This window comes from Homo sapiens, chromosome 6 (genome assembly GCF_000001405.40).
Source record: "Homo sapiens chromosome 6, GRCh38.p14 Primary Assembly".
Lineage (NCBI taxonomy): Eukaryota > Metazoa > Chordata > Mammalia > Primates > Hominidae > Homo > Homo sapiens.
Window position 1 is genome coordinate 39,602,625 of NC_000006.12, and position 12,728 is coordinate 39,615,352.

Genomic DNA, 12,728 nt, shown 5'->3' on the forward strand with positions numbered 1-12,728 from the left:
TACATCTGCAAGCTTTTTAAGTCCATGGAATATAGTTCATTTGAGTCTAAAAATTAGAACTATTTGAAACAGCTAGATTAACTCAAATCTCCCTATCAGTCTTGGGCTTCAGTTATTTGCTGTGCGTGATTCCAGAGCTCTTAATCACTACTCTCTACATCTTCAATTGCCTTTTCTCCTGTCTAGAATGTCCTCTAGCTTATCACTCAAGTATACCCTTTTCCTACTCCCCAAATAAGCCTACTCAAAATTCATTTATCTTCATGAATTCCCTGGAACTATCCCCAATTGGCATTAGCCATTGTGTTCAGAAAAGACATTTAACATTTGCGCATATAGACAGTCATTAATATCCAAACCCTGGAACAATCCAAAAAATTGTTGTTCCAAATGGAGTTTCAAATGTTCATAAAAAAATCCATTTGGAACATTGTTTAAATAGTGTTATTGTAATGAACTGTTTGTTCTAGTGCGTAGTGAAGTAGTGGTGTGATCCACTGGGCTACAAGTGAGTGTTTGGCGTCCTGCTCATTTTGTGGCAGTGTAAACAGAATGGTGCAGATTGTAAAAAGTGACTCAAAAATGACCCTGTCAGACAATGGTGGCTTCAAAATGTTCATATAGAAGGGGCTTGGAGCAGCAATGTGACTGTGGAGGCAGGGGTTGATGCTGCTTTGTTAGGACACTTTACATAACATCAAATGCCTGGATTGAGGCCAGGAGAGAGGTGCTAAGGCCCCTTCTACTGCCCTTTATTCCTCTCCCTGGCACTGATTCAGCTACCACTCTCAGAAGCTATTTCATATGGTAAAAAACCTCAAATCTCATTGAATAATAATCCTTTTCTATACAGCAGGAGATACCTGTCTGCTGAAAGAGAAATTTGAAAATAAATGGTGATGCATTTTTTTTTTGTGGGGGGTGTGTGTGTGTGCGTGTGTGTCCAGCCATTTTTAGTAATGATAATTCTGATTTGGGGGCAAAAAAGAATTTTTTTCTTTTTTCTCTTCCTATTCAATAAGTGAAATATAATTTCTTGAGGTTTACATAATATGCTCTTGTGGATGTTTGTAAAATTAATTTTTTTCTGCTTTTAGTTAAACTAATGTTTTCAATCACTTCAAAAATGATTATAGACAGTTAATGCAGCCTTCAATGATTCAAATAACCTCTGTATATCATATTAAAAATTTTCTAGGGTACCACTTACTTATTTCTTGCCATAACTTATACCTTTTATTCCATTCCTGTGTACCAAAATCTTTTTTTCAATCACTTTGTTATCTTGGAGTAAAATATCTCGACAGGAATTTCCACTAATCTAGAATAGATCAAATAAAGGAAATCTCTTTTCGATTGAACAGGACATTATAAAGCATATGCCTGAGACTCCTTAAAACAAACCAACTAAGAACAACAATAGCAACCACAGGATCTAGAATTCAGCTTTCCACTTCAGTTCTCCTTGTCTGATAACACTTTCTACACTGATACTCTAATTGATCTGTTCCTCTGCTCACTTGCTCTATCTGAGTTGAAGACTGAAAATGCTAACTTCCATGTGGTTTTCTAAATGTTTTCTGGGTTGGCATCTTGGCCTTTCAGGTTAAACCTCACCCTTAATGAAGAATTACCGAATCTGTTACCTATTGGTTAAGTGATTCTTTATATAGTTCTTCCCATATTAAATGAATTGAATTAGGAAGCTTGCTATGCCCTTGATGTACTCTAACTCAGCCTGGAAAAGTGAGACCTGACCAAACCTAGTGGTTTAGCACGTGACCCTACAAACACCTACCTTGAACTTTTCTGGAGTTGTTTCAGAACACACTGCCTAGCAACAAAATATTCCTGAGTGGATATTCCTCTACTGGAATTAATGATCCTAAACTTCTCATTTTTCTTTCTGACTTTTCTGTTTATAAGATACCTGGCTTTTAGGAAAGTAGTCAAAATGATTTTCCCCAGTTGCAGGATTCTAGGTCTTTTTCTTATCCAGCATGTTGTCAAAGTAGTTTTGTAAAAGAGAAATAGACTAGACACACCAATTTTATTTAAAATTTAAAAACAAACTTTGGAGCAATCTGGAACATATAATAAGAATGTTCTAATAATTATGATTCACCTTTATGATAAGAATAGGTCTAGTATGTTTTATTGTGTATCCCTCCTAACAAGTCTGGAATCAATTTGATGGATTTTTGACTTTTACATCCTCAAAGATCTATTGGCCGACTCAAAAATTTTGGGAAAACAAAGTCAGAATTAGTGGTTCTGTTGAAGTTTCCTCTGTGGATGTCAGGATTTGGATTACTTCCCTAAGGGTCATTTCTCCAGGATTTGGCAAATTAAAGTCAAACACATTTATATCAAAATCTAAGTCGGCTAAATTGTGGTACATATGGGAAACTGAGAAGGAATTTTGCCTGTATCTTTAATTGGAACTACATTCAATTATCATTCTTACACATCATTCTTGAGCTAGATAGCATCATATCCTCCACAAGCATTAAGGTTTGCTCTCTGAACAATGAAAATTATATAACCCAAAATGTCTGCCCAACCCCCTGCTGTATTTTTCACTTGATTGCAAAAAGAATTATAAGCTAAATTTAGCCATCAAAACAGTAACTTATCATAATTGTCTACTCTGTCCATTTTTCATCTTTTAAATTGAGTTTGAATTTTTTTCTTTTTTCTCTTCCTATTAAAATTCAGCCTTCGCTTAAAAATTTCCAAGTCTGACTATTCACATAAGTGGAATAATAATATTATGGGGCTAAAAGAACTAACAATCCTAAGAATTTTAGCAGTTTATTCAAACTGTCTTTTTTATACATACTACATACCTTGGGATTATAGACAAGCTGAAATTACCTTTTACTATCCTGTGTATAAACAATTAAGACACAGGTAATGATAACACACCAAGGAGAATTTAGATATCCATTTGTATCATTTTGTTCTAATGAAAAAAAATATATACTGTGAAACTTTATTGGGATAGCACTCAATGCAATCTTCGAGTTTGGACATCAAGATCAGTAACAGACATAAATTTTAGGACAATGTCACTCAGAGTACAGATGCCGAAGAAAGAACTCTAGAAGCACAGATGTCCAGTGGTAGGCATAACAACCTATTTTATTTTCACTTATAGTTGACTTGTATTTTCTGACTAGATGCCCTTAAGTCTCTTTCTTTAGCTTTGTAATTTAGTAACTTCAATAGAGGATGTCTTGGAATTGAGCTCTTCCAATTTTTTCTTTGAGCTCTTCCAATTTTTTCAGTTACGTCCTTTTCATCTGCAGATTCAAGTAATTCCAAGTTTCAGAAAACTTTTCTCTAGTTTTTCTGTTGCCTTTGTTCCCTCCCCTTCTTCAGGATTTCTAACTATGCATAATTGGATGCTCCTTTGTCTCTCTTTCTAGATACACCTTCTCTCATTAATTTTTATATACTTAGTTATTTTTCAGTCACGTTTCTTCCTCTTCTTTTTCCCTCCTCCTCCTTCTCCTATATCTTCTCTTCCTCTTCTTCTTCTTCCTTTCTATTCACTTCTAATGGCACTTTAATCTCTTTAATGGCTTTTTCTCTTTCATTTATTTTCTGAAGTTTTTCAAGTTTGCTTTTCTTTGTCTTGTAATCTTTTTCTTTGGGCTCTTCTATAATATTAAGCTATTTTTTAAAAAACAAAGATTGTCTTTAAATAACATACTTAAGATTATGAAGAACAAGCCCTGTGCTCTCTGATTTAATCAGCCTTCAGATGTATGTTCCTTAGCCCTGACACCTACTCCATATATATAAATAGGTTGTGGGATGTTTTCTTTCTGATAATTTTATCTTTGAACATGACTATCCCTTTCCTAAAGAGTAGCCTAGAGGATAGGTGAGGAAATATTCATATTGGGTTTACATCCTGAATACTTTTACATTACATCTGTTATGTCTTTAGCCTCAAGAGCATAAACTTTCCTCAATATTTCACATGAATAGGTCTGGGATGGCTCACAGTTAAGTCCCTTAAATAACAAACTCCCTGAACCCCACTCACCAAAGGCCATCTTCTTTGGCATGAGCCTACATCACTGATCATAAAAATGGCTTGTATTTAAGGTTTCTTCTTTGGATCCACCTTCTATAGTTAGAATGAATATCTATATAACATTCCCAGAGTCTTCCTCCATACTTGCCTGTGTTTCAGATCTCATCACTCTAACCAAAAGATCATTGGATTTGCATTTGAGAATTGTGACCCTTTCTTTAAAGGGAAACTCTATCCTGCCTGAGGTTGGAGGACATATGAGTTGGCTCTCAGCACCCTCTCTCACCATAAGTCAAATTCATAGTATTTGGCAGGTTTTCTCATAGTTTGAGGTTATGGCTATTTCCTTGTTTCACTGAAGATGGCTTTTTTCTCCTCTCTTTCATTTTTTGTTGCTGTTGTTGGTGAATGTCAATAATACTGAATAGAGTAAAAGTGACTTTCATATGCTATGTTTAATTCGAGATGAGAACTTTAAAGATCAGAAGAAACTCTGGGACTAAATTTTATAGCCAAAAGACTATTCTTTTAATAATGTATATGGAGTATATAAATCTTAAAATTCTAATAATAGCTGTTCCATACCACTCATTTATTTTAATCGATGTTTTAGAACAAATCTCATGGTTCATGTAATACCATTAAATCAGGTTAGATCAGAATGCAAACTGTGTTATAACACAGAAGTGCTATTTAAAGAACACTGTATATTTCTCATGTATTTCATATATAAAATATAAGAACAAGAAAGAAATGCTTGTCATATAGTAAGTGCTCAAAATTAAAGTTTCTTTTCTTCTATACCTAGTAGGTATGTATAATAGATAAGAAAAGAGGTTAGAATTGTCAATATATCTTTTACTAAGGCTTCTAGCTACTTATCAGGGCCTAATAAGAAGAAAATGCTATTCTTATTTATTTATTTATTTATTTATTTGAGGTGGAGTCGCACTATGTTACCCAGGCTGGCCTCAAACTCCTGGGCTCAAGCAATCCTCCTGCCTCAGCCTTCTGAGCAGCTAGGATTAAAGGTGAGAGCCACTGCGCCCTGCTAAACATGCTATTCTTACTGTAATAAGATCAAGGCCAAAATATAGTTTGCCTGTTGTATATTTTGCTCTAACCAGGTTCACAAATTTTATAACAAACTTGCTAATTATATATAACTAACATATCTTTCAAACAAAAATTTGTGAGGATGTGTTAGTCAGTATCCCTTTAATGATTTTGGAACTAATTGAAACCAAAATCCTCTTGTTTTCCACACACATCCCACAAGGAGATTGGGGCTTAAAGTTGTGTTAACAAACACAATCACACAATAAAGCTACTCCTTCCTTCCTGCCCTATCCTTATGTTATTAGACAACACGTCCAAGAACAGCTGTTCCTATAACTCACATAAACCTATTAACCCCAACTCACACCCTGTCTCCCAATTATTTGCACTTCCACAAGGTCATACAACTTACTCCAAAAGTTTGCTAATGTGCAAAGCCTGAGAGCTTACAAAGCACATCAGCATAACTCAGATAAATCTAGTACACATGCTCCACGGTTTATGACATGGGGTTATGTTCCCACAAACCCATCATAAATGGAAAATACCATAAGTTGAAAATGCATTTAATACACCTAACCTACTGAACATCATACCTTAGCCTAGCCTACCTTCAACGTGCGCAGAACACTTATATTAGCCTACAGTTGGGCAAAATCATCTTGCACAAACCTTATTTTATAATGAAGTGTTGAATATCTCATATAATTTATTGAAGACTGTACTGAAAGTGAAAAACAGAATCATTGTATGACAACTTGAAGTACAGTTTCTACTGCATGCATATCACTTTCGCACCATTTAAAGCTGAAAAATTGTAAGTTGGGGAGTGTCTGTATGTCTTTTATTTCAAGCAAAGAATTAGGTATAAAGACCTCTAATCCCTCTTGGGGAAATTATTTATAAATCCCATAAACTTTGTTGATAGGCTAATTATTTGGAAAGTAACCTCTTTCAAAAGATTTGAAGTATCACACACACACACAAAATGTTGAAGTCATCTGTGATGTTCTCAGTACTCACTAATAGGCACAGTGTACCATAAAATCACTTTCAATTCTGGGCCTGACATTGGAGGTCTTATTGCCTGAAATCACCAGGTCTTCCTCTCTCATGAATTCCACAAAACAGTTAATCAGTAACTGATGACCTACTAGTTGCCAGGTGCTGAGAGAATAGAGATGAACAAGACGAAAGTCTTGTCTTTAAATAGTTGCCAGCTAAGAACTCCAGGGCCTGTCCAAATGTTATTTAATTCAATTGTTTCTATATCCCTAGAAGGTGGGTATTATTATGCCCATTTTACAGGTTAGAAAGTACAGTTTAGACCAGTTAAGTGACTTGTCCAAGGACACACACTTGGCAAAGGGTGGAGCCAGGGGTAGAAAAGAAGGTCTCCAAAGCTCATGCTCTTCAGCACTACTTGGCGGGGATGGCAGGAGATGGTGAAGAAACCACAGAGTAGAACCAACACTGACTGGAGGAAGTCACCTGACCATTCACGTGGGAAAGGAAGCCAGGCGGAAAGAAAGCAAGCTGCCCACCCAGGGGACCCCGGACTTTCCCAAAGTCGGCACCGAGTGTTCCTTTCTCACCAAAGGTCCCCTGCAAGCAGTTTCACAGCAAATGTTTTATACCAGATACAGCATATTATTGCTCCAGAATCCATCCAGGTCAATAACTACACCAGGTAATACCTATATAAGAAATTATATGCTAGACCACTCGGACACAGTATTCACTTCCTACAGCTGCCAGTACACAGTACAACAAACTGCTGAATAGGATGAAGTTCCAGCCCTCATGGGGTCAACGGATCAATCAGACCTAACCTAACACTTCAAGAGAGAAACAAACAGAAGACATGAACAAAAACAGAAATGCAAATGGCCAACGAAGATATAAAAGTATTTGGTAATCAAAATGCAAATTAAAACAAGATTTCTTTTTTTGTCTACCAAATTGGCAGAATTTTCAAATGTTGTGGTGTTGACAAGGGTGCAGAATATAGACCTGCTTGGTTTTTTTTGCCTCTGGGAGTGGGTTTCAACCAGCTTTCTTAAGGGTAAAGCCCAGACTGCTCCCAAATTTAGCCTGAGCACATTTAAAATGCTACAATGCACATTCCTGGGCTCCACATGGAAGAGATTCTGAATCCATCAACCAGAAATGTAATCCAAGAAACTGCATCATTTAATTATCACAGGGTATTCTAACACAGGTTTTCCTAGGACCATACTTGGGCACAGAGTGCCCTAGACCATGGGTAGGACTATGCCTTCAAGGTAGGGGCAAATGGTCCTATCTATGGCACTATGCATGGCCTGATCATTGAATGCAGGCTGCTTTCTTCAGTTAGATTTGATGACTTGATAGAAATATTTCAGCTATAAGACAAAAAAAGTATCAAGTTATACTTGCGACTGGTGGACTTGGATGCTGGGTCACACACAGTTCAGCTTTTATAATATTTATTCTCTTTGGCCCAGCAGTTCAACTTAAAAAAAAATTTATCCTAGGGACATAATCAAGTTTTATTCAAAACATTGGTAGGATTGCTGAAATTACTTAAGAGTTCTGAATAAATAAGAAGAGGCTGAAGCTACTCTTAATAACTTTTCCTTAAAATGCTGGCTATGGGTAAAGAACATGAAAGGAAAGAGCACTCCACTTTGTGTCCCACATATTCAGACTTTGTTTTGCAAATGTTTTCTGGTTACCAAGGCAACTTCTGGATTCCTCTGTGTAAATGGGAAATTGGGAACTTCGTTTTTTAAAAAAATGATTCGTTTGTTCTTTTTATCCTGGTAAGATCGTTCTGTGCTGACAAATTGCATTCTGACAGGTTGTAATCCAAAACATGCTTTTTTAGAAGACTGTGAATAATAAGGAATTTCTAGTGGTTGACAGTTACTTGTCATTTATATTTTTATGTATTTGCTTTCATTGCTTTCAAGGTATAAACTAAGGTGCTAAATATTGGGTATACTTTTAAAATAATTTAGAAATATATATATAACATGTCTACAACAATGGAAAGACTTACACTAAGCAGGCTGTCATTGTAACATGGTAATTATTATTACCAAAGAAAAGACAAAAGCAAGCACAGAAGCAACCAAAACCTATTAGACTTGGTTTTTTAAATAAAACAGGCTTTACATAGGAAAAATAAACAAATTAAACAAAAATTAATGCACAACCAGCATTATTAGGATTAGCCTTCTTCAGGTTTCAGCTATTTATAATATTAAACACTCATCAGTAAGTAATAGGAAAAGACCTGGAATTCTGGCTGGGCGCGGTGGCTCACACCTGTAATTCCAGCATTTGGGAGGCTGAGGTGGTCAGGCCACTTGAGGCCAGGAGTTCCAGACCAGCCTGGCTAACATGGCGAAACCCTGTCTCTACCAAAAATGCAAAAGAATTAGCCAGGTGTGGTGGCGCATGACTGCAGTCCCAGCTACTTGGCAGGCTGAGGCACAAGAATGGCTTGAACCCGGGAGATGGAGGTTTCAGTGAGCCATCACACACACCATGGCACTCCAGCTTAGGCAACAGAGTGAGACTGTCTCAAAAAATAAAAAATTAAAAAGAAAAATTTTAAAAAAGACTTGGAATTTTGTAAGGTGGTAAGACAGGTAAGTTTCACAAAGGAATTTCCTTAAAACTTTGCAAAACCCCAGCCTGAAACCATGTAGTTAAAGTTCATGCATAACTTTGAAAGAGCAAATGGCCAAGCTTTTAAGCTACTGGAGATCATGGTGGAACAGGTTAAGGGCCTTTCCATAACCCACTGAAGGTGAGGGAAAGTAATTGGCAAGGATGAGGCCTGTACTTCTCTAGGGATGGATCGCCTCCGAAAGAAAGTCAGTTAGCACTGAGGCGGCAACAGGCTCCTCTACTTGTTTTCCTTATAGAAGTTTATGAATCTATCTTTTCTCTTTTTCATAAGCATTGGTGGACAGGACCCATTTCTATTCTGTATCTCCTCGTTTGCTGTTTATTAAACTATATATGGAGGAACAGGATTTAGTGGAGCATGCTAAATCCTTTGTCATCATACGCCCAAATTCTTACTCAACCTTTATTCCTTAATCTTCGATTATTATGACAAATAAGAGCATCACAAAGATCAAATGGGCAAAATGTTGGAGTACTGAGCACAAATACAAATTTGTAAAGCAAAACAAAATATTCTGAGATTTAAAACTACGTGAATGTTGTTTCAAATAAAAGTAAAAATTTAAGCGACCTTAAATCCATATATATGGCACATAAACTCAACCTATATAAGTTAGCTAGTCTATTGAAAAGTATTGATGCAAAACTGGTAAACAACTGTGACAAAAACAAAAACTAAGGGCCCAAAATAATAACAGATATCAATACGATGCTTTCAGTATCTGAATTTGGTTTGCATTGGTCTATCTTGCGTCTAAGGCAGGGCATTCTAGAGGGCAGACATGGGGCTGAATAAAAGGTCCCTTGACGGAGATTTTTCTCGGACTACTTATGCTTTCAGCTTACTATGCCTACCTAATACTTGTTATCAGAGACAAGGTAAAATACAGAACTCTGGAAGGGTGGTTTAAAAAGAAAATGCCAGTGAAAACAGTAAGCTGTTCATTTGGGGAACTGTTCCCACACCACCACCACCACCACCACCATCCCATTCCCTTCACCACAGTGTAGCTGGATGAGAGCTTCATAACCCTCCATCTGCAATCAGAAACCAGTTACAATTTGGGCCCCTGACCAAGCTGGGTCAATCCTAGCTCCTATATAGAATTCTCAGATAAAATAGGAACTCAGTTAAATTTGAATGTCAGATTAACAATGAATAATTTTAAATATAAGCATGTTCCAAATATTGCACTGAGATATACACACTATAGTGGTGTTACCAGATATGCCAACAATAGCTGCAAATGCATAGAATACTCCCTATGTTCAATGCATTGTTCTAAGTACTTTATACATATTAACCCACTAACTAAATGAAAACATATGGATATGTAAACACATGCCAACATATGGATGATTTCAGGTTAGGAAAAATGGACTGAGTATTTTTAAATTTTAGAAAATATGCAAAACTTCCTACAATTAAGACATGTAATACATTGTCATTAATGTACAAACCAATTTGTATACAACTTAGAATATAAAAATAAAAACTTAAAGGTAGATACACTAAAGTAGAAAAAGCAGTGGATTGAGAATCCAGGGGTCTAGATTTCTGTTCCTGCTCATTAGCTAGCTGGGTGACCTTGGGAAAGTCTCCTCACTTATCTAGATCTGGGTTTCTTTATCTGCATGTGAGGTTTGGACGAGATTATTTTTAAGGTCATTGTTGGCCCTAAACTTCTATTATATCTTTTTTTTTTCTGCCTTGGCTTCAGATACTGTATCTTATAATGTTGAAGAAACAGCTTGCAGAGAGAAGTTTATTACCTCTGCAATCATTCGGTTGGTGTCTCCTAAAAAAAGCAAATTCAGAGCTTCTTCCTCTGTGGTTGCCTGATGGAGAGTCAAGTTTTTCAGGTGAATGTTCTGATCAGGATCCTCCAGTATTGTCACTTTCCTAAGCAAATGGGAAGCAAGAAAACAAGGTACTGCTGAGAATGAAAAGAACTTGAAGTCTTCCCTACAGGCTTTTAAAAAGCTGTATAGTATGACGTCTTGAACTTATAAAAGCAAATAACACACAAGATACCAGACAGCACTGGATTAGAATCAAACACTGACATTCCCTTCACAGTACTATCAAATAGCTTTGAGACTGAAAAATATATTACAAGCTCCTGATTTAAAGCCACCTGTCATTGTAATAATCAGATCGCTAAATCATCTTAGAATGCATATTCTTTCTGAATTAAAAATACAGATAATAATTTTCTATCTGCATATCAGGAAACTAGGCCATATTTTTTCTGTGTCATGATTCAGTTTCTTACATAGGCAGTGAACTCATTCCTTTGTTCAATTTCATATCACTTTCAATTTACATGACATTTCAAACTGGTTCACTTACCAACTTAAACGTGATGAAAATTGAGGCATCTGTCATCCTTCTAGGAGTTATTCCCCTATTGAGTTTTCTCATCAAGGTGAATAAAAAATTTTCAAGTCTTATAATAAAGATTTAGCTTGCCATTATTATTTTAATGCCTCTCAAATCCATTTCTTGATCCTTTTTCATTTACAACATACCTTTCCTTCCATTACATCCTTTTAGTCAGAGCCTTAGATCTGGAATTACATTCCTCTATTACAACTACCTTAATGGGCATCCTGATGCCAACACCGTTTCCTCCCAGGTGAATCCTAACCCTGTTTCCAGAGTTGGCTTGTCAATACTCTCCCTAAAGTCCTTTCAGGACTTTCTGCAGTGGAACAAAATTTGGCTAAACTCCTCATACTCTGCTTCACAGGCCTACAGATTTGAGTCATAAAGTTACTAAAGAGAGTTCCTTTCTACCTCTTAAATTTTGCCTTCTTGATTTTCTTAAGAATTGTTAAGGAAAGGAAATCTTATTATTCACAAGTATTGCCAAAGAGTATCTCAGGTATCTTCACTCGTTTAAAACATTTGGAATTGTTGACACTAAGTAAATGTTGGCATCATCCAGCACTACTTTTCCTTTAAAAGAAAAACTAGCAGATGGACATGTGTAATTTTCTTTTTTATAAAAACTTATTAAGAATATCTTAAAAATGAAGATTTTGCAAGTATCATAATTTTTTTCATCTTTCCCTTTTGTAAGAAAGTTATCTGGACTTTCATATGTAATTTGTGAGCACTTAAAATCCTAATGGCAGGAAGAAAATGTAGCTCTACCAGCACATCTGTGACCAATATGTCACTAATAATGTCCTCCTTTGCCAAGTTTTAGACTCTTTTTTGTTTCCTTCAACAATACCAGCAAAAATGGAAAAAGATCTTTTCTCTTAATGAAAACAAGTGTAATTTATTTATTTTTCAACAAGACTCTTAAGTGAGCTTATTAAAAATGCTTGGAAAAGAGAAAGGCATTTGAATTGAATTGAATTGAAATGGATGAGTTGTATTCTATTTTTAAAAACTCCCTTTATTCCTTAAACTTTATTTCCACCCTGATTTTTCTGAAGTGCTCAAGAAGGTTTGGCTAAATTAAATCCCTAGAGACACGGAAGTAATGATTCTTCCTAAACCGACAGATTCTGGGGCTTATAGGTGAGAGAAGTTAAGTAATATTGGAAGATAAAGTAACAAAATAAATAATGAGATGGTATATTAAAAGTGAGAAAAGGGCTAGGTGCAGTGGCTCAAGCTTGTAATCCCAGCACTTTGGACACTGAGGTGGGAGGATGGCTTGAGCCCAGGCATTCAAGGCTGCAGTGAGCTATGATTGTACCACTGTCCTCCAGTCTGGGAGACGGAGCGAGGCCTTTTCTAAAAAAAAAAAAATAACTACATAAAATAAAAAGAGAGAGAGAGAAAAGAAGAGAGTTCTGCCTTTGTCAGCATGAAGTCAAAAACGAATTATCTAACTCTAAGGCAAAGTCACCTATGATACACTTTGAAAGACCAAGACAGATACAATACTATTCTTGTGCAAGTTTGGAAAAGGGAGAG

General features: G+C 36.1%; 1 protein-coding gene across 9 annotated transcripts in view; it reads right to left on the minus strand.

The window, feature by feature from the left end:
- The window catches only part of KIF6 (kinesin family member 6), a 395,419-nt gene that overhangs the window by 272,635 nt on the left and 110,056 nt on the right, over window positions 1-12,728 (minus strand). For all 9 annotated transcript variants that reach the window (XR_001743238.2, NM_001289020.3, NM_145027.6 and 6 more), the window contains exon 6: window positions 10,565-10,694. Coding sequence is in view for 8 of the 9 variants with exons in the window: in NM_001289020.3 (NP_001275949.1) it covers window positions 10,565-10,694 (130 nt within the window). In the remaining variant the exon portion in view is untranslated. The remainder of the gene's footprint in view (window positions 1-10,564; window positions 10,695-12,728) is intronic.